This window comes from Homo sapiens, chromosome 11, assembly GCF_000001405.40.
Source record: "Homo sapiens chromosome 11, GRCh38.p14 Primary Assembly".
NCBI classification, from domain to species: domain Eukaryota; kingdom Metazoa; phylum Chordata; class Mammalia; order Primates; family Hominidae; genus Homo; species Homo sapiens.
Window position 1 is genome coordinate 98472821 of NC_000011.10, and position 23648 is coordinate 98496468.

Sequence of the window (23648 nt, forward strand, 5' to 3'; positions counted from 1 at the left end):
TGCAGAAAAGGAAATAAAATAAATATATTAATTTCCTGTTATTGCCATACCAAATGACCACAAATTCAGCAGTTTAAACTGACATCCATTATTGTCTCACATTATGTAGGTCAGAAGTCTGGGCACAGCATAACTTTCCTGGTTCTCTGCTCTAGGTTTCACAAAGCAGAAATTAAGGTGTCACTATGGCTATGCTTCTTTTTGGATGCTCTGGGGATGAATCTCTTTCAAATTTATTTAGGTGGTTGGCAGACTTCAGTTTATGTTATTGTAAGAATAAAGTTTCCATTTGCTGGCTGTTGGCAAGGGAGGGTTCAAAGCTTTTAGATGCTACCCACATTCTATGGCTTATGTTTACCTTCCTCCATCATCAAAGCCAGCAGCGTGGGTCAAGTCCTTCACATGCTTCATATCTCTCTGATCTTCCTTCTTACTCCCTGCTTCACTGGTTTGAGTTAAAAAAGAAAGCTCTTGGATTTTTAAGGGCTCCTACTATTAGATTGGGCACACTAGGATAATTTCCATACACCTAGTCCACAACCTTAACCCATTTATGCCTGAGGTTGCAATTTTTTTGAGTTTTTGCATGAGTGAAAAATCCGACCTTGGTGATGGCCTCGAGCAGTAGGATATAAATAACTCCCATATGCTAAACATTCCAATAAGGGAACACTAGGCATATGAATTGCATCCACAAATTTCCTTCGGTAGTGTAACCTACTCAAAGGTTGTGAGGATTAGGGAATGGACATCTTTGTTGGGACATTCTTCTGCCTGTCACAGTAAGCTACAAAATGACAACAAGACATGATGAGATTTATTTTTCTGTAAAAAAAAAATAAAGTTGTATTATGTGTTTTCCTAAAGGAAAGTATAAATTGATAATCCAAATACATGAAATACATTGCAGAGATTTAAGAGCTTTTAGTTGTAATCTTTTATCCAGCAAGAAACAACTTCTCCTGAATCCCATTTCACTGTTACTAATCTCAGTAACAGCATTATTTTTAGGAGAGTGAAATCAAAGCTGATTACAAAGTATTTTGGCACCTACTATACAATCTTTGAGCAGTTCTTGGATTTAGAAGAAAAATGCTAAGGAGGCACAAAATTTTTATGCAAAATTATCTGTTGGATTGGCAACATTATAATTGTCTGTATTTTACAAAACCAGTGCCAAAACATTTGCTTAAAGGAATTGAGAGTTGTTTGTTTATTTTCAGCAGTTGTTTTTTTATTTGAATCCTTAAGGGCATCAAGTGGTCCTAAAGAAGTTGGTATATTTTATGTGTTTGTATTTGGTGAACTCTTAAGTGTGCTCAGCAACTTTATGCTCCTTCAGGATATGCTTCATGGAATAAAGGTGAGAATTAACTGATCTTAAGAAGGATGATAAACAGCAATAATCATGGTACGTTATTTAAATAATTCCTGTAGAAAATACTGTGCTAAACATTTTTTTCAAGCACCACACTTAATTCTGATTGAATAGCAGGCACTATTGTTGTCTCAAGTTCAAATATGACAAAACTGAGGCTAACATGTTAATATTTATACCACTAATACCTAATAAAGGTGCATGTAAAGCCATGAATGTCTATTGTTGACACATAGGAATGTTTTGTCTTCCATCCTCTACACACACACACACACACACACACACACACACACACATACATACACAGACACATATATGTCCAAAATCTAAAACCATCCACACAACTGGTATACATTTTTAAGACTTCAATGTTTGTACCTAGCTCAGACCATGGTGTTAAGTGCTGATGGTGAAGATCAGCAATATGTTGGAACCATTAAATATGACTGGATTTGTAAATTTTACATCTTTATTTTATTTTATGAGACCATATTAGTCCATTCTCATGCTGTGAATAAAGACATACCCAAGACTGGGTAATTTATAAAGAAATAGAGGTTTAATGGACTCACAGTTCCACATGGCTGGGGAGGCCTCACAATCATGGCAGAAGGTGAAGGAGGAGCAAAGGTATGTCTTACATGGCAGCAGGTAAGAGAGTGTATTCAGGGGAACTGCCCTTTATAAAACCATCAGATTTTGTGAGACTTATTCACTGTCATGAGAACAGCATGGGAAAAATCTACCCCCATGACTCAATTACTTCCCATCAGGTCCCTCCCACCACACATGGCGATTATGGGAGCTACAGTTCAAGATGAGATTTGGGTGGGGACACAGCCAAATCACATTAGAGACAGTCATGTTCATGATTTTCATTGCATTATATTCTAGTTTTAATGTGAAGTTGTACTGCTACTTTAGGCAGGACCTCCGATTATACCAATTTAGCCAAAAGTGAAGCCATAATTAAGATATGTTGACAAGGCAAAACACAGTAAATTACAAATTAAGTTATATCACCAGTGCTATAAATTCTAGGTGCCGTAAGGGGCATTTTGTTAAAAGACACCTTAAATGAGTTCCTGAAGGTTTGAAATATTTGGGACAAAACACACTGGCTGAACTCCAAAATACCAGATAATTGAACTTAGATCCTTTAGTGAGAATAATTAGGCATCATTTGCATAGGTAAGGTCATTTGGACAACTTCCTGGTGGAAAATAAAGCTAATTGAGATTAATGATTCTTAAATATATTGCTTCTCTACTTAGCATATCAAGGCAGTATTTTCTGGAGAATAGAAAATGCTTATTAATTCTATTAGGAAAATAGGAGTTATAGGCTTTTTATTTTCACTAATTTTATCAGAATACATTTTTGTAGGTGACTATATGTTAAAATATACATTATATATTTATATATGTACATATTATATATAATGTATATGTGTGTGTAGTATCTATTTTATATAATTATATATAACATGTTAAATTACAACATATCATGTATGTTAAATTATTTTACAAAACAATTTTAAAATGGATATTCAGAGAAATAAAGCAACTTGCTAAAGACTATACAATTAATAAATAATCAAGTCAGGATCAGACACCCAGTCTCTTCAACCCCCAAACCATTTCAAAGCCTAAATAGAAATAAGTAGAAAGGGATACATATATATATATATATATATATATATATATATATATATATATATATATAATTTACCTATAAATATACAGCAATACAATTTTTCTTCTTGGTTTATGTTCTTCTTATGTGTTTTCTACCAAGTAAACACAGGACATAGAATGGATGTATTTATTTTAAGTAGCTATGTATAGACATATGAAGCTACAAACAAATTAGCATATCAAAAACACTGCATCAGCAACTTGATTTTGTCAAAATATCCAGTAACAATTGTTTAAAAAGAGAGAGTAATATATTTGCTCTAGCTCTAATGCTTGAGTAAGTATGTGTTTTGAACAAACTGGGTTCTCTACAAATGTTGTTAATTAATTGACCTGCCACTCATTCATCATACTGTAAAGAATTGACGAGACTAAGTCTGGATCTGAATTAAGACTACAAATTGCCCTCTTTCATAGAACAGATACAGGGAAGCATATGAACTGAATGGCTCAGTATGGCCTAATGATTAAAAACAGAAAGAAACCTGAACATTTGTCTGCTACTTTCTTATGGGCTCCAGTGTGCCCCTTCAAAATTCATATGTTGAAACCCTAAACTTCAGTACCTCAAAATGTGACTGTATTTGTAAATAGGACCTTAACAGAGGTAATTAATGTACAGTGAGGTTGTTAGGGTAGTCCTGAATCCAATTTGATGAGTGTCTTCATAAGCAGAGATCAGGACACTGAGAGAGAGACATCTGATATGTGCACACTCAGGGAGGCTGAGTCAGGAGAATTATCTGAATCTGGGAGGTGGAGTCTACAGTGAGGTGAGATCGTACCACTGCACTCCAGCCTGGGCAACAGAGCAAGACTCAGTCTCAAAAAAAAAAAAAAAAGAATGTATGAAAAATCACGTCGTAATGTTTTTAGAAGGAAAAAAGCATTCAGTTTCCAAAACGGCAAGGTTTTCAGTCCTTTGTTTCTCTATGGCCTCCTGAGTTTGTCATTGCCCAAAGCCATTCCTACTGTATGTATCCAAATGTTTATTACCACACACTGATTATGGATTTGGTACTTTATTTGGCTAAGTGATGACCACTTCTAGTCCTTGGCCAAGAGCAAATGAATAAACTCACAGAGATTGTAGGGGGAAAAAAAGCAATGAAAGTCATTATTAGCATCTCATAAGAAAGGCATTTTCATTATCTGTTGCTACATAAAAACCAACAATATCTAGCAGCTTAAAAACAACAAGCATTTATTGTTTCATAGTTTCTGTTGGTCAGGCATTTAAGTGCTGCTAGGCTAGGTTCACCTAGCTCAAGGCCTCTCAGAAAGCCACAGTTTAGGTTTTCACCAGGGCTGCAGTCATCTCAAAGCTCAACTAAGGGAGGATTCACATTCAAACTTACTGAAGTGGCTTTTGGCAAGACTATTGGCAAAAGACATCAGTTCCTTACCATGTGGTTCTCTGTCTCTCTCACGTTACACAAAACATGGTAGCTGGCTTTTCTCAGAACAAATAATGGGAAATGGAGATAGTAAGCAAAGCAGAAGTCACCCATTTTATTGTAACCCAATCTCAGAAGTAACTTCTCACACCTTTTATCATGTTGAGTTCATTATAATTAAGTCACTAATTCCAGCCCACACTCAAGGGTGGAGGATTACTTAAATGTGTAAAAAGCAGGAGGCACGGATTATAGGGGACCTTTTGGAGGTTGCTTTCTACAAGGATAGTATCTTAGATATTTTGGAATCTGCCTGTATTCTTTCTCACTCTGCTATGAAAAAATACCAAAGACTGGGTGATTTATAAAGGAGAGGGGTTTAATTGACTCACAGTTCTGCATGGCTGGGGAGGCCTCAGAAAACTTACAATCATGGCAGAAGAGGAAGCAAACGCATGTTTCTTCACAAGGTGGCAGGAGAAAGAAGTGCCAAGAAAAGAGAGAAAAGCCCCCTATCAAACTACCAGATCTCATGAGAACGAACTCTCTATCATGAGAACAGCATGAGGGTTACCACTCCTATGATTAAATTACCTCCCGCTGGTTTCCTCCTATGACATTTGAGGATAATGGTAACTAAAATTTAAGATGAGATTTGGGTGGAAACACAGAGCCAAACCATATCACTGCCTGATCTTCTTACCATGCAGTGACTCTCACATTATTAACTTGGTAGGTATTTATAAGTTTTACGATATTATTTCACATATAAACAACTTCTACATTATTCATACTGGTTAAAAATGCTAATACCTAAATTCTCCAGGTTATAATTAATTGGTCTGCAATGCATTAGGGTGGTTAAGGGAAAATAAGGGCTGGGGTTTCCAAAGTAATATTAACTTGACACTCATTCTGACACTTTCCATAGGCATTTCAGTAAATAAAAGCTTTTTGTCCCACATATAAAGGCAGAAGTTCCACTTCAAATTACAAGTAATTTGAATAAATAAAATAATAGTATCAGTATTTTGTGAATCTACTTTTCCTTCCTTTCTTCATTTTCTTCCTTCTCTTTTTTCTTGTTTTCTTTCTTTTCTTCCTCTCTCACTTCTCCACTTTTTCTTTTTTATCTATCTTTTCAATAAAAACTTAAAAAAAAACAAGTCCCAGTCATATCCTTTAGTTTGTCTTGTAACTGTCTAGAAATAGTATCCCTATTTCAAAACTCATTAACAACAACAAAAAATTACTAAGACCTCCAGCAAGCTACTAGCTTCCACCTGTAGATCCAGTCTCACCTCCTACTGCACCCTCCTTTTTATTTATGGTAGAATATTGTCTAAGAAGTCATAAAATCTTGATCTCAAGGCATTTGTTTATGTTATTTGTTCTTAAATTCTATTATCTTCTTTCTGACATAATTAAAACAAATACAATAAACAAATACTTAGTTTTCAAGGTTTAGCTCAAAATTCCACACCACTGTGAAGCATTTATAAAATTAACTGATTCTTTCTTTGTTAACTGAAAGCATTTTTACCACACTACTAGTATAGTACTTACTATATTACAACTATGATTGTTTTTAGTTTTTGTAGTTGTTTTAGTTGTTAGTTTTTCAAGGCTAGAATGTGAAAAAGTACTGAGCCCATACTGAAGAACGCAGCTAACATAGTGAACGGCCCTGTGTATTTCAAGGGGTTTTCAAGGGGTCGTCTGCTCAGATTTATAACTGAGAGCAAAGGGTAGATTCCAAAGGAACTATAACATATATATATATATTTATATATATTTATATATATTTATATATATATTTATATTTATATTTATGTTTATATTATTTATATATATTTATATATAAATATATATATATATAATTGTTTTTTTGAGACAGAGTCTTGCTCTGTGGCCCAAGCTGGAGTGCAGTGGTACTATCTCGGCTCGCTGCCACATCTGCCTCTGGGTTCAAGTTATTCTCATGCCTCAGCCTCCTGAGTAACTGGGATTATAGGTGCACACGACCATACCTGTATAATTTTTTGTATTTTTAGTATAGATGGGGTTTTACCATGTTGACCAACTTGGTCTCCAACTCCTGGCCTCTAGTGATCTGCCCACCTTGGCCTCCCAAAGTGCTGGGATTATATGCTTGAGCCACTGTGCCCAGCCTAGGAACAAAATATTTTATGTCATACGTCTTTTTCAAACTAACTTTTTCACATTGTTTATTAACATAAGGTTTTGTTTTCTGGTCACCATCTTTGGAAAACAACCCTCTCTCATTCACATAATTAATTTCAGGTGATGGGATGAGGCGTTTTACTTGAAAAAAACTCTCTTTTCATGGGTCATTGATAAGAAATTGATGTGATGCTTTCCCCAGGAACTTTGTTGGAATTGTAGGCAGGAGGCACTAATTCCATCTTATATTTCTGGTGAAAAGAGCCTTTGTAGCTTACAGCTGCTGGGGACTTATTTTAAGAACATAGAGAGGCATCTAATAATGAATATATCAGAATAGAAAGCAGAGTGAGGAAGTGAGGAGATTAGAGACTGATTTGTGTAATTGTTTTATGAAATGATTGAGTACATAGATTTTTTTTAAAAACAAAATTATCTTTTTTAAAGTTTTGTAAGCCTATTTATTATATTGTATTTTATTAAACTAGCATAAGGTGAGATTCTGTCATTTCCAATGAAAAGAATGACAATGACAGGAGGTAATGCAATTTTAATGTATTAATTTATGAATGAATGTTTAAAAGCATTTCAACAGGGCAGTCATATAATGTAAAACAAAGAACATGCACTTCAGAGGTAAACTGCTCAAGTCTGTATCTCCCAGGCTGCCATTTATAGTAGCAGCATGTCTATGGGAAAGTTATGTATTCTTTGTGTTCTTTGTGTGCCTTTGTTTTTTCATCTGGAATATAGGAATAATCATACAACAGAAATATACAGGAATATAACATTGTTACAGTATGTGTGTGTGTGTGTGTGTGTGTGTGTGTGTTTGTGTATGCATGCACATGTGTGCTTGTGCAGCTTTTAGAAGATTATCTGGTACATTGAAACATAACTGTTGGCAATGAAATACCTTACAAAGTTTGCTCGAACCCATTGATTAATCAGAGGGTGTCTACTATATGCCAAACAACTATGCTACATATTTTAGTTAATAATAATAAATAGGATGTGTTCATTGCCCTAAAATTATTTATGACCAAATGGAGGGAAAGGACCTGAAACTAAGTTATTAAAATAGAGTAACATGTAACAGATCTGTAAAACATTCCTCTGGTCTATCTGAAACTTTTTACCTGTTAGTAAACATTTCCCCATTCCACACCCCAAACCCCAGCCTCTGGCAACCAACATTCTACTCTCTACGTCTATAAATTTGACTTTTTAAGATTCTGTATATAAGTGAAATCATGTGGTATTTTTTTTTTGCCTGGCTATTTCACGATTATTATTTGTCATTTAACAATAACATTTTAAATAAATCTTTTAAAAAACTAAGCACTCCTCCCCAAAAATAGACCAAGACGATTATTAATTCATAAGTACACACAAATGACAATAGAATAACTGATGGTGTCATGAATAACTGAGACCAGAAGTAACAGAGAAGGGTTCATAAAAGACACAGGTTTGAGTAGGCATAAAGGAAAACCATGAGTTTAACAAATGGGGTAGACTAGAGGATATAAGTATTTTAAAAAGGTAAAGAAATATAGAAACTTATCTAGTTATTGGATAACATACAATAGCATTTACATCATAAAGTAGTTTTGAAGGTTTCTTGTACTTCAAAGCAATTCTGACCTGTAGGATTTAATTGTGAGTTAATCATTTTCTAAAAAATCAAGGATAATGTTTTCTACATAGATATTAAAGATATATGCTATTTCTATTTACATACTTTATATTCTTTCATTAAACCTGTTTTCTAGGAAGAAATTAATCCAGTAATTCTAACTCAATCAAAGCACTAAAATGAACATAATAGGTCAAAAACTAGTTCATAGAAACAATTTCAATTAAGCTATGGAATTTTATTTTCATTAAGTTCTTTATTACTGTTCTTAAAATAACTTCTCCAATACAATTTTAATTCTGTAACACCAGTATTTTGATTAGATTAGATAAATTGTTATCTACTATGAAATTTGATATGTCCTTCAAAATTTCTCTCTAGTTAAATATATTTACTTATTTAATAGATTAATTTGTTAATTAATTTAATTATAATCCACCTCTTTGGTTGCTGGAACTTTTTCAATTATTTATTGGATAATTTTCAAACAACTCTGTATTCAAATCTCTCAAGCATTTCTTTTTCTTTCATAATTTTTAGTGAAGTCATCCACTGGAGACCAGAGCATGTAACATGTTTTGTTTAAAAAAAAACACCTGTCTTCTGAAAACCTAGAATTTATGTTCTGGGCTTCTGGAACTTAAAATGGTAACATTTTATTGACCCCATGATTACTTTATATACCTTGTTGTATTGTGTTTTAATTTACGACAATTGAGAAGCTCTTTGCAGCGTTTCATTTGTCAGGCTTAGTGGTGTCAGATGTTTGAAGTAAACAACATTTTGAAGATATGTGGTTATCCTACATGTATATAAGAATTGGGATTAAACTTTTCCTTTCTTAAGCACCTTGTATTCATAGGAGTGGTTTAATAGTTACTATGTTCTCTCACTCACAATATGCAAGGATAAGTGGCAAAATAAACCCACATGTTAAACTAATTAAAACACATTTTCCTTTAAATTTCTCAGTGTGAAACTATCGTGCAAAAGGTGATGATAAAAAGGGACAGATTAAGTTTATTATAACTTTAGCATAAATGTATGAGTGGGGCTAATAGATCATTTTCGTGTTTTAAAATATTTCATAATGCATAAAGTGTGAAGTTAGTGAAAAAGAAAGATAGAGCTAGTGCATGAATGTATCTCTGTACCCCCTGCAAGTTACTTTACCGATGTAAGGTTTAGTTTTCTCATCAGCAATTTAGGAACAATAATAGAATTGAAGTAAAAGCTGTTGGAATGATAAAATAGCACACATAATCATTTAACCCAATGTTCTCCAAAATAACTTCTTTGGTCAGACACACTGGGAGAAGTTGTCAAATTAAATGGCGATTTAGAAGAAAATATATGAATTTAGGTGAAAAAATTCTCTCTCTATACTTACATAAAATGTGTGTATAACAAATTATGTGTATTTATTTATGTATTTATAGTTTATCTTTCCAAGCTCTATGAGACAATGTGTTACTTTAACTTGAACAAGTAAACCTTAACTTCCCCAGTTGAATGTCAGAATTATACAGACCATTATACAGACCCTACATGGTAATGAGATAAAAGTTAAAAACATTATCAAATGAGAAGAGTAGAGGGTAGTCTTCTAAGCTGTTCCTCTTTAATACATATTAAGGCTGTAATTCAGTCAATAACAAATAATATATCACCTAACACTGGAGGAACTTTGACTTCTAATACCTGACAGTAAAGTGGAGAGCCCAAGATGGACATTAAATTCTCTATGAAGACTCCTATCAGGTCACCCAACACAGAATTCAGCACAGATATAACTATTGAATAGTTATATGCTCAGAAGCGTAGGGTGTGAGTGACAAAATGATGTAACTTCTGAGCATGTATTTTAATTTTTTTGTAAATACACAAATGTTTCAACTCAAAACTGTGCATATCTGCTAATATAAAAATGTAAAAGTGGATCCTTAATCATAACACATGTCCCACACACTTAAATTAAGACCAACTTAGGCCAATTACTAAGTTAAATAATATAAGACCAATAATAAAAATTAGAATGTTTAAAAATTTTCTTGTAAGTTATATAATAACTAATTTTGAATGCTCTTATGTCTGAAGTCCATTTTCTCTGAGCTTTATGTCTAACAAATTTTATACATTTTAAGTGAAAAATTAATGCTATATTATTTCTGAGCTTTCACAATTGTTTACATAGCTAGATAAAGCAAATCATTTAGAATGAAATCATTTGCATTTACTTGTAAGTGGAAATTATTTAGAATGAAATCATTTGCATTTATTTATAAGTAGAAATTTACATTTTGTTATATATTTTAACTATAAAAACATATAGAATCAATTGGATGCTGAAACTGATTGAAAAGAACAAATTTGTCATTGTAAATATTGTCACTGTAACATTTTAGAAATGTTATTTCTAAAAGAAAATGTTATTTACCTGAGAATAGGCACTGCAATTGGATGGCAGGTGCCATAGTAAACTATGTGCATTTCAGGGAGGTAAAGAAAGACAAACGTTTTAGAGGAAAAACGAGGAGGATTATATAATTGTTTTGAGATTATCCTTGCCCACAAGAATCAGTAGCAAGTTTCCTGTCAGTCAAAGGTTGAACAGGCAGTTGCTGAGCAGATGTCCTCACAGACAAATTATTTTTTGGTGTAAGGTTGACATGGCCTTTGTGCAAGGTTGTGGTTTTTCCAGAATTTTTTGTGACTTTTTTTTTTCATGATAGTTTTTGCTGCAGACATTTGTGTCTGAGAACCTTCCATTTGTGGCCTTCCTGGGGTTCATTTTCATTTTTCAAGGTTTTGTTTGCTTATTTGGTTGGGGTTTTTTTGTTTTTGTTTTCTTTTGAGACAGGGTCTTACTCTGTTACCCAGGCTAAAGTCTGTGGCTATACATAGGTATGACCAAGCTCACTGCAGCCTCCAACTCCTAGGCTCAAGTGATCCTCCTATCTCAGCCTACCAAGTAGCTGGGACTACAAGCATGTGCCACCATGCCAGGCTAACTTTTTGAAAATTTTTATTAGAGATGAGGTCTCACTTTGTTGCCCACACTGGTCTCGAAGTCCTGGCTTCAAGCAATCCTCCAGCCTCAGCCTCCCAAAGATCTGTGATTACAGGTGTAAGCCACCATGCCTAGCTTTGTTTTGTTTTGTTTTTAGCAGAAGTGACTCCATTTTGATTTTCGCAAAGTAAAACAATAACAAGAAAAAAAACCTGTGTTCATTAATCAAGATGTAAATAATTTAAATTTGTTAAAGTATTCTCATAGTTATATTAAATCACTGAAGTATTAAGTCAGAGTTCTACAGAGAAATAGAACCAATAGGATATATATAGATGTACAGAAAAACATTTATTCTGAGGGTTTGGCTCACGGGATTATGGAGACTGAGGATTACCATAATCTGCTATCTGCAAGCTGTAGGACTAGGAAAGCCAAGAGGTATAGTTCCAGTCCAAGCCTGAAGGTTGGAGAACTATAGGAGCCAATAGTGTTAAGTCTCATTCCAAGTCCGAGGGCCTGAGAGTGAAGGGGCTGATGGTTTTGGTCTAAGTCTGAGTCTGAAGATCCATTAACCAGAAGTGCCAATGACCTGGCCAAAGGCATAAAAGGATGAAAGAATAGAAATTCACCCTCTGTCTTTTTATTCTGTTTAGGCCATCAAAGGATTGAATGGTGCCCATGCACATTGGTGAGGGTGATCTTATTTACTCATTCTTCCAATTCAAATGCTAATCTCTTCTAAAAATATTTTCACAGATCTTATAAATACACCAGGGATTCAGTCTAGGTTCTGATGCTCACTTCACCATCATTGAGATGAAGAATATTGCCAGGTAAGAAGCCTTTATTCGGGTGCCACAGCTGAGGAGAATGGGAGATCAGTCTCAAATCCATCTCCCTGACCAATTAAAATGGGGACTTCCAGTTCCCTGATATTATCTGGTAGACCTGATGATTGGTTTCCTGAAAAAGGAACTCAGATAAGACAAATGTAACTTTAAGTTTTAAGTCTGGGAGGGTCAATTTCTGTGTTTGTTCAAAAGAAACCATAATCACTAGTTCTATGAGACAATTGGGCTGGTTTCACAGGCACACCCAGGAATACCAACTAAACAGACATCACTTGGGCTAGTCAAGTTGACACATAAAAGTAACAGTCCCACTCATTAAGTAAATGCTATTAACTCAAATTATAAACTACTGACAACAAAAAACCCTAAATGATCCTTTTTTTTTTTTTTGAGACAGAGTCTTGCTCTGTCACCCAGGCTGGAGTGCAGTGGCATGATCTCGGCTCACTGCAACCTCCGCCTCCTGGTTTCAAGCAATTCTCCTGCCTCAGCCTCCTGAGTAGCTGGGATTACACCACACCAGGCTAATTTTTGTATTTTTAGTAGAGACAGGGTTTCACCATGTTGGCCAGGCTTGTCTCGAACGCCTGACCTCAGGTGATCCACCCACCTTGACCTCCCAAAGTGCTGGGATTACAGGAATCAGCCACCGTGCCCGGCCCATGATCCAATATTTTTACTCAAATATAAATTGATGATTTTGAAGATAGTTGTAATTATTGTGATGGTTAATATTAAGTGTCAACTTGATTGGACTGAAGGATGTCAAGTATTGTTCATGGGTGTGTCTGTGAGGGTACTGCCAAAAGAGATTAACATTTGAATCAGTGAACTGGGAGAGGCAGACCTACCCTCAATCTGGGTGGGCACCATCTAGTAACTGGCAGCACAGCTAGAATAAAGCAGACTTGCTGAGTCTTCTGACCAACATCTTTCTCCAGTGATGGATGCTTCCTACACTGGAACATCAGACTCTAAGTTCTTCAGCTCTTGGACTCTTGGATTTACACCATTGATTTGCCAGGGGATCTCCAGCCTTCAGCCAGACTTAAGACTGTACTGTCGGCTTCCCTACTTTTGAGGTTTTGGGACTCAGACTGGCTTCCTTGCTCCTCAGTTTGCAGATGGCCTACTGTGGGACTTCAGCTTGTGATCATATGAGCCAATACTCCTTAATAAACTCTTCTTCCTATATTAATCTAACCTATTAGTTCTGTCCCTCTAGAGCACCCTGACTAATGCAATCACAAACTAAATATTATGTTTCCTTTAAATGGTATGCCATTAAAATAACACTATTTCATCATTTCCATTAGCCCTCTGTATCTATGGGTGCTGCATCCATGGATTCAACCAACCGTGGACTAAATACATACTTCTGATCAGCATTTGCTTGAATTTGCAGATGTGGAACCTGCAGATGCAGGGGGCTGACTTAAGAGACGAGGATCCACAGACGCTGACATCCATGGTGGGTATTGGTTCAAATTCCTGGTGAATGCTAAGAGATAACTGTATTTGTTTTGTAAAAGAGTTAAAATTTTTAGAAAAACATTAATTAAAAACCTATCTAATAAGTGAGAAACTTTTGATTTGCATAGTAATTATTGTATATGTCATAGCATTAATTATTAACAGTACATATCTCAATACGTTTGTACTTTTAAAACAATTTTGCCACTAGGCAAGATAGCAAGATGACAATGAATGTGATGTAGATTATCTAGAACAGCAGTTCACTGGCACTTTAGTAAAAGGGCTTAGAAGAACGTGGAAATTGAATTATATGAGTTACTTCTTCATTAGTATCCCCAACAAAGGCCACTCTGTCCTCATATATTGGTAAAAACGTGGAGGCAAGGCATAGAGAATGATGGTGCATTAAGGAGCCCATCTGTATATGGGAAAACAGTTCATTTTCAATGTTGGAATTAAATTCTATGCATAAGATGGACAACTTTAGGAAAATAACTTGGCAAGAAATCATCAAGTCAGTATTATTTTGGCGTCATTACTACTTTGGATGATATGGGCTCCTGGCCTTGTTTATACCACACTTGTTCTCTTCTTCACCCTCAGTTACTGGCTTCCTGTCTTCCTGCATCCACCCACATGCTTAAGTGTCTGCTCTTGCCCCTGCCTTAGCACTAACGATTTATTTAAAAACATGCTAAAAGAGTAAACTAAACTAATTCATCTAAGAGACCATTCAGACCATCATATTTTGCACATGCTTTTTTATATCTTACCATTAGAATTATAAACCTTCTAGGTCATTCATCATGATCTAATCTCATATAACTATACATTTTTGTTTATTGTCTTACCAGAGTCTATCATTTATGTATCTGGGAGATACATATATCCAAAAAAGATACAGTATGCCTTCAGGAAGTCATAATATACTAGCTATAATATCTCCTATATTCATTCTTCAAAGTTCTTTTTGTTCTTAATAAAACTGAATTCAGGCTGCCAAGTGAAGACACTGGGTGCCAGCTTCTGAAGGTGATACTTCTATTTTTCTCCTCCACATTATGTGCCACATAACCCAAAGATGTGCTGCTTGCTCTCTGTGTCTCCTCCCCCTTTTCATTACCCACTTACATACTGTATTCCTCTCTTCTCACTTAAAATGTCCAATTAGGTTGAAGTCATTCATTATGACTTCAATATCGATGGAGACGATATAGCAAACACCTGGTGTCTGTGTTCTTTTTACTTCCTCATTTCTAAAGACCTTTTCCTTCTCTTAACCTCAGCCTCTTACTCTTCATTTGGTGATTTGCTATTTAATGACAACAAAATATAGGTATACCACCTCTGAAATTCATAATTTAAGTATCTCACTCTGTTAATAACACCACTTAACTTTCAAGCTATCTTTTAATCTTTCTCCCATGTCAATTTTTTTTCAAACTTCTGGCGACTTTCAGTCATTATCTACCATTACCTATGTCCTCTCTTCTATCTTTAAACTGCTTGATTTTGTAGTCTATTACTATAGCCATTCAATTAATTGAAAGTATTCTTACTTCAGTGGCCTTTTTTACTTATAGAAACAACTCTATTTAAACTATTTTTTTTTTTGAGATGGATTTTCACTCTTTCACCCAGGCTGGAGTGCAGTGGCACAATCTCGGCTCACTGCACCCCCCGCCCTCCGGTTTGAAGTGATTCTCCTGCCTCAGCCTCCCGAGTAGCTGGGATTACAGGTGCCTGCCACCACGCCCAGCTAATTTTTGTAATTTTACTAGAGATGGGGTTTCACCATGTTCGCCCGGATGGTCTCGAACTCCTGACCTTGTGATCCACCCACCTCGGCCTCCCAAAGTGCTGGGATTACAGACATGAGCCACCTCACCCAGCCTAAACTAAAATTTCAGTGTAAACTGTAGAATACAGCAACAAGGCCTACACCAACCTTGATGAATGCTTTTGTAAAAAACACACAACGATGGTGACTGAAATTTTAAAGCCATAGCTTTTAAGTAGGCTTTCTAAACTATAACTATTATCCTGGTAGGTTTACTTTCTCACTCTGATAAAGGTGTAATATTTTTAAAAAACCCCTACCCCTGCTCAGTATTTAACTCTTAGTCAATTAACTTACTTCTTACTTCTCTAAGAAAACAAAAGCAACCCGATTGTTCATAAAAAAGCTATCTCCATTTTGATAGATCTCTATATAGTTGATTTTTCCTCTTTTTTTCAAAGGTAAAACTTTTCTGCTTCCTAAGTTCACACTTTAAATTGTTCCTTATATCCCATTGCATCTGGTTACTCAAGGATTTCATTCTTGCCATTATACCCTTTCCTTTTAAATCTCTAGTTTTCGTTTCTACCACACACATTAAATTTAACGTAAACACAAAATAATTCTTTAGTTTTGTGAAACACTCCTGTTAACAGTAGAGGGTGTCCAGGTTCTTGGCGTCTTGAAGAAAGAATTGTACAAAAGGCACAAACAAAGCAAGGAAAGGCCAGGCATGGTGGCTCACACCTGTAATCCCAACACTTTGGGAGGCCGAGGCAGGTGGATCACCCGAGGTCAGGAGTTCGAGACCATCCAGCCTGATCAACATGGTGAAACTAAAATACAAAAATACATGTCTCTACTAAAAATACAAAAAGTATCCAGGCGTGGTGGTGCATGCCTGTAATCCCAGCTACTTGGGAGGCTCAGGCAAGAGAATCACTTGAACCTGAGAGGCAGAAGTTGCAGTAAGCCAAGATGGCGCCATTGCACTCCAGCTGGAGCAACAAGAGCAAAACTCCATCTAAAAAAAAAAAAGCAAGAAAGGAATTAAGGGATTTATTCGAAATGAAAGTACACTCCACAGTCACAGTGTGGGAACGGGCCTGAGCATAGGGGCTCAAAGGCTCCGTTATAGAATGTTGGGGAGTTTAAATACCCCCTAGAGGATTCCGTTGGTTACTTGAGGTACACTCTATGTAAATGGAGAGGATGAGGTAAAGTTACAAAGTCATTTACTTGGCCTATGCCCTATGGAGAGGATATCTCCTGTCATAGCCAAAGTGTGAATCAGCCTTATGTTCCCTGCCTCCAGACCTCATTTTCCTGCCTCATTTCCCCGCTGAGAGATGTGATCCCCATAAATCTTTATGAGAGACAGAGGGGCCGATGGTCTTTTTTCTGTAACTGCTTCATACTGGCTTGGGGTTTTAGTCCCTACCTATTGGGGATCATGGAACTCTTACCCTGCTGTGTCTAGTGGAGGCAGGGTAGCTCCTTGATGGCCAGGGGTGGTGTCTTCACCTGGAACTTGCTGGAGCCTTTGTTGAGTGATCATCTGAAGCTCGATGGTCTCTAGGTGAGAGGAAATGAATTTGGTTAAAAGATTTCATGGGAACTTCAGGGAGTGGATACCTATGATGCCAGAGAAGTTTGTTATAGAGATTTACAGAAGAAAAACAAACCCTGGTCTGTTCTGGAATCCATGTGTTTCCTTAAAGTCTTAGCATGAGCAACTCCATTTTGGTTTGGTTTGGTTTGTTGGGGCCTAGTGCATGAGCTCAGTCCAAAACAATGGCCTCTCATAATTTTGTTTAAAAAAAAAATCCCCTTTTTTGGTCAGGTTTTCACTTAGACGAGAGTGTGACTAAAACTTATGGCCTTAGCCCCACTCTCAGTTACCATCATTTTGGGTTTCTGGTCTCAGCATGTCATTCATAGGTTACAGTGTCCTCATAGTTGCACATTTCTTTCAGCACTTGTTATTCCAGTTGAAGAGAGTCCATATGACATTCTAGAGATGGCTGCATGCAAACATTTAAAACCTTTGAGAGAATACAGCACACCAGGGAGACTATTACTATGACTATTGGGAGGATGATACCAAGCGTTTGGTGTGTGCTCCTTACCCAAGGTCCCATAAACCAAACCTCCTAAAATTAAACAAATCGAAGAATGAACTAAAGAGTTTACTCACTTGACTAAGCAAATTCTTCATCAATCACCTACCACTAGTTTCTATAATCTTTACTTGATGTATTTCCTCATAGGCTACAAGTGCCAGCAGCTGCACAGGTAACTTTTCTGTTTAGCTAATTCTGTTATTTAGCATAGCTTTCACAAGAGAATTTAAAGTCTGTTGTGTGACTGTAGCCTCTACAGTAGAATTTGCTATAGAACCTATCATGAGGGGTACATTTCTAATCATTGCTTCTTTTATTTTAAACCATGGGAAAAGGACCTAACAAATGAGGCCCTTTTAGAAGAAGGGTGAAGGAAGGCCTCCTGGCAATGTTCCCTTTAACCCATGACGTGGGTTAAGAGGAGTGAACCAGTGTTTTGTTTTTGACTGATTATGAGGCAACACATGTACCATTAAAGTGTCTTACCTACACTCGGCCTTCATCCTTTATCTATCAAAGTATACGTTTATCCATGTATAAGGCAGGCTGCAAACTCCTTCACAAATAAAAGTACACCCCATAAGTGCACAAAACCGACACCTTTTCCACTTCTATTGTTCACAGAGACACAAGCAAGAAAAAACATTCAAAGATAAGAGTTTCATGACAGTAGAAGTCTTAATCTGTGAACTTGGGAAAAACTGTTCACATTAAGGATGCTGTCTTCTCTTTGGGAGAAATTTCCCTGGTTAGCTTTACCTCAAGGGTACCAATGGGTGCACAGTTCCAAAAGTGTGGAAGGACCCTTCTCAGTTGCAAGACCACGAACCGAAAGCCCAAGGTCCTGAAGTTTTGTTATAGTGTGGATGGCAAGCATAGTCTTTCTCCAATATTCTCGGAAGATCCAAGCCATAAGAAGCTTTTTTACCTGGCGAAAATACACTATAGCATAATAATCTGCTTTTATAACATCAGCCCTCTTCCATGGGAAAGCTTTTAGACAAGCAGAAAACATGCATTGAAAATAACAATTGAATGAAATCCCTTTACAAAATGTTTAAATGTCCCACCAGGTGACCAAATGTACCTGAAGCTTTGTTTTTCCAGGAATATGGGATCAAGCATTGGTTATAAACTATTTTTGTAAGTTGTAAGTCACTACACCAAAGTATTCAATTTGGATCATTATATCTTTTCCATAATGAGTCATGGAATGCAGAACTTTTAATAATAAAAGCTTTAAGGACTCAGGAAGGACAAAGTGGCCATCCGTTTCTCCGTGAATCCATGCTTAATTAACATTTGGCTTATATCGTCTTGGATACCAGTTGTTTTTCCAAATTAGGTGCATAGCACTGACAAGGAAATTTGGTTATTTTTGTGGTTTACAATAACTTAACATAGTAACCATAATTATAATTGATAGCATATTCTTGGACATTAGAATTTTAGAAATCCCATAAAATTTAGGAATATGTATTAGTATTATTCAAAAAAATATAACCTAAAGAAGATTGAACATCATTTTGGCAACTCCATGTACCTAAACACATAAAATAATCCTGTTTACTTTTCTTCTGGATGTTTTCAGGGGCCCTCATCCAGAAAGCCAGGCCTTATGAAAGACAATTTTGAAACTGAAGTTTGGTTTTAGAATTCTAGATTACCATAAATTATTTATTTTGCCAAAATGATGACTCAAATTTTAAAGAAGCAAAAACCTTTTATAACCTTAAAAAGAAACCACATTCTACTGTTCTTGCACACTTTGCATGTAAAACTGTTTTTAGTAGTCTTAATTGCATGTTATAATGGCGAATTTTAATGGAAGGCCTAGTAAGTAATGTTCTGATAAGGCTTGACTGTTTCCAACATAGCTAGGGGCGTGGCCAACTCCACATGTCCCCAAGTCTTACCTAGCTGGAAAGCAGACAAGTAAAACAAATTTTAAAAGCCAAAAAAGCAGTTTATGACCTTAAAGCATTTAGCAAACCTAATATTTGAACATAATTTAGACCACATGTTTACATTTTGAAGACATTTGTATTTTACCAATAATCTTGAAAACCATCTTTATTTCCCAAAGATTGCTAAAGCCACATCAACTAAAAGGCATTACACTTTATGCTTTTCTGACAAAATATTTGATGTAATCTCTTATTATTATTAAACCATTAATTTAAAACTTTGCAGAGGAGGTTAACCAGTTTGCACAGAGAGAAAGAGGCCAGAGACTGACTGGTAAGAAATTCTTACCCTTTTGCCAGCATGCTAGGTTTGTGGGTTCTCTCTCCCTGAGCGGCCCTGGAGACCCTGCTTGACAATATGCAAACAAACACATTGCCATGAATTAAGAATACACATAGATAGTTTACAAATTTTGGAGAAGCTAGCCATAAAGAGAGATATGACTTAAATTCTATTTGTAACAGTATACTAAACACACTTAAAGTATCAGGAAGCCTAAAATCCAAAAAGTTAGTTTAAGGATAAAAAGCTGGTGTGCTCCATTAATTCCTGCAGCCTGACAAAGGTAGCTTAGGCATTCCAGATAAATGGAATGGATGATGACTTGCTAGAAATGCATATGAAACAAAATAACTATTCACAGAACGAAATAAAAGCCTTCCACTAGAAACTAAAAAGGATCATGGTTTTATATATATGGATACACAAGCAAAGCCAGAGGTTAATAAACAGCAAATGAATTAAAAATAGAAGCAAAAACAAATAAACAGAAAACCGGCCCTCAATTTTCCTATGCAATTTATCCTGGAGAGTACAGTGTTATCTAAGGCCTCCAAAACCCCACATACTGAATATTTTATTCCTGATATACAATTTAATATTCTTAAGTTTACTAATATCATCATACATCCTGTGTAATCAAGAAATTCACTTTGGGAACATGACCAATTAGTACTCTAGCACTATCCATGCAAAAGAGTAAACATAGTGTGAAGCAACGCAAGCATGTATGTGAAATTTGGCTCCACACTAAATTCAGCTCCATGCTTAATGGTATCAAAAAAAAAAAAATTGCCGAACTGTCAATGCCTTTCTTTACAATACTTCTTATTTTACTTTAAGACTAAGAGCTTTAACTATGAAAATATTTATTAGTCAAATGTCTCTCATTCTCTATCAGGATTTAAATAATATTTTATTATTTAAACTCTTTCCACATCTTTCTCCCCTACTTAATGATTCCTTACTAGTTTCATAAATAATCTTTTCAATTCTGTAATTTGAGCTAACTTTTAGATAACTTCTGAATTAGACAAAATTATTCTTTTTTTCCACTAGTAACATAACACTTTCGGTGCATTTTTTATACAGAATTACATGTTAACTAACATTTTTATCCTTAGTAACCTAAAACTTTAGTGAAACCCTAAAAAGCAAGAAATCCTGAACTGTCAGATATGGGCATTTATACATAAGTACAATCCCACAATTTTAGAAACATATTTCCCCTATCACAACCCTTTCTTAATTGGAAATGACTCAGATATTAAATGAGTATCAAAAATAACTTTAAGATTTTAATTGACCCAAAACGTTTACCTAAAACATTTATCCCATTCACCGTACTTAATTTTTACTTTTAACAAGGGAGACATGAGACATCAATCCACATACGTAAAACATTACAAATTAGTTTGGTCTGGAAAGGCGAGGAGGGGGATTGGGGGCTTTCAGATCATACGTGAGAGACAAATGGTTGCATTATTTTGAGTTTCTGATTAGTCTTTTTAAAGGAAGCCGTCATACATGGATTTATCTCAGTGAGACTGTGAGTAAAATGGGAGGCAGGCTCACCCCATGCATCTCCCAGCTTAAATTAACACTGACATTTTAAAATATCTAGCAAAGACAAACATAAAATTCAGAAAAAAATGTATGCTGACAATTCTGAAGGCCTATTTTTATTCCACCAATAATGTGAAAGCTAGCTTGTTTAGTAAAGTTATACTTAGGTCACATGAACTCAAAAATTGCTTATTTACTTAATTTATGAATGCTCTCTTATTTAGAAGCCAATGTGGTAGACACAACATATAACAATAAGTGTACATACAAGTAAACACATCTAGACGTGTATACACACATATATACAAAGATCCAATAGCTTGGAACGTTAGCCATGAGATAGCAATACAAACTTGCCAGTTTTACTTTGCCCCAATGGATAATTTAAGGAAGGCTGTGAACCAAAATTTCAGGTAAAGCAGTCTCTGTGACAGTTAGATGTTTAAAGGCTAAACCTCCCCAGATTCCCAGGAGCACTGGGGCCAAAGAATACCAAAGAAGGTTAGAACAGCAGCACAAAAGCCTGGATACATGCAATGCCATCCCACTTTCCCATTAGACAGTAAACTTCAGATTCTAAACAATTTTGGGGCCAAGCAGCATTGCAACTGCGAGAGAAAATTCTAAGGAGGGCTCATTACTGTACCTCACCTCTGCAGAGAGCATCTTCTTTGGAAAGTTTGAGTTCCGGATGATCCCCTCCGAGTGTCCTCCTGTGGGGTTCAATCTTAAGAGTTCCAGATGTCTCTTGGCCTTAGGTGGGCACCGGTGCCACTTTGCATGCATTCCCTCCAGAGCCTACTGTGAGCTGTTTCCTGGGTGTAAAACTCGACTTTTAGCATCCTTATAATTTGATAAGGCCACGCTTATCAAATCCCATTCCATAACTTATCCCATTCCATAAACTTTAATGACAGGAACTGGAGGCTTGGTGGGTTTCCTTTGCCCTTAGCCAGTTGAATAGGGGAAGTGAAGAATTTAGCATAAGAAAAGAAAGTTTGAGTCACCTGAAACAGGTAGTTTGCTCCAAACTGCACCACACATAGGAATCAGGGACCAGGTGTGGAAAAGATTTTTAAAAAGTCCTTTCCCCTTCTGGGTAGGGCAATTATTCCCATTTGTTCCTAGGCCTTCAGGCAACACTGGGGAGTGACCTCAGCCAATTGTCCTCAGTTTCCAAGGAGCTACTAGGAAACAGCCATTGAAAGACGGAAAAAAAAAAAAAAAAAGAAGAGTAAAAAAATGAAAAAGACCCAGATTCCTTAAGCAAATTGGGCAGTGGTGGTTGGGCTTTGCCTGTGGAAACCCCTTAGTTTCACTGACCATGGCCAGAAACCTGCAGTTGCTTCCATGTTTAGGTGCTGCCCACCAAGGGTCCCAGGTTGGAAAGGAAAAGAGAGAGAAAGAGATTCGCCTGTTTGGAGCAGAAAGGAAAAGGAGAAAGGAGAAGAATAAATCCCAGACTTTGGGCTTATCTCTTCCTCCTGGCTAGCTCGCCAAAATATGTTAACAGTGAAGAGTGTCTATGTTCTTGGCGTCTTGAACAAAGAATTGGACAAAATGCACAAACAAATCGAGGAAGGAATGAAGAGATTTAGTAAAAATGAAACTACATTCCACAGTGTGGGAGTGGGCCCGAGCATAGGAGTTCAAAGTCCCTGTTACAGAATTTTTGAGAGTTTAAATACCTGCTAGGATTCCATTGGTTATTTGAGGTATGCCCTATGTAAATGGAGAGGAAGAAGTAAAGTTACAAAGTCGTTTACATGGCCTATACCCTATGGAGAGGATATTTCCTGTTACAGCTGAAGTGTGAATTGGCCTTATGTTCCCTGCCTCCAGACTCTGTTTTCCTTCCTCACTCCCTTGCACTATTATTTAGACAATTGATAGATTATCTATTCCATCTTATAGGCAATTGCCAGGAAAGTTGTTTATAGTTACTGCTTTTAATTCTCTGTGTCCTATTCTGTTGTTAATTATCTCCAATTAGGTATTTATTCCCTACTGAAGCCATTCTATTTAAGTACATGAATAACTACTATCCTGACTCTAAATGTGCCATTCTTAGAAAGTTCACCAATGATTGACTCTACCAACACCATCTTTTTAGCTTTATCAGTGAATACCATTTTTCCAAATTTAATCATTTATATGTTTTACTCTTACTTGAACTCTCAGCAGCTTTGACAAAATCATTACTTCCACCTTATTGAAACACTTTAATGTCTTAGTGAAATGACCTCATTAAAGTCACAGAGCCTTAGTTTCACATTTATAAATGAGGGTAATTATCT

The 23648-nt window shown here is 36.0% G+C and overlaps 1 long non-coding RNA gene across 1 annotated transcript in view, besides 1 other annotated feature; it reads right to left on the reverse strand.

Annotated features, from left to right (window-relative positions):
* LOC105369455 (uncharacterized) overlaps positions 1–22881 on the reverse strand; it is a 42339-nt gene extending 19458 nt beyond the window's left edge. Inside the window, exons 1-2 of the long non-coding RNA XR_947946.3 lie at positions 22003–22881; positions 16882–16990 (exon numbers count right to left, since the gene is read on the reverse strand). This is a non-coding gene — a long non-coding RNA (uncharacterized LOC105369455). The remainder of the gene's footprint in view (positions 1–16881; positions 16991–22002) is intronic.
* Positions 22877–23378: an enhancer, noted in NCBI's record as "NANOG hESC enhancer chr11:98366426-98366927 (GRCh37/hg19 assembly coordinates)". NCBI's record gives its function as "activates a minimal SCP1, AML or CMV promoter by ChIP-STARR-seq in primed H9 embryonic stem cells {active_cell/tissue: H9 hESC(primed)}" and the evidence as "EXISTENCE:reporter gene assay evidence [ECO:0000049][PMID:30033119]".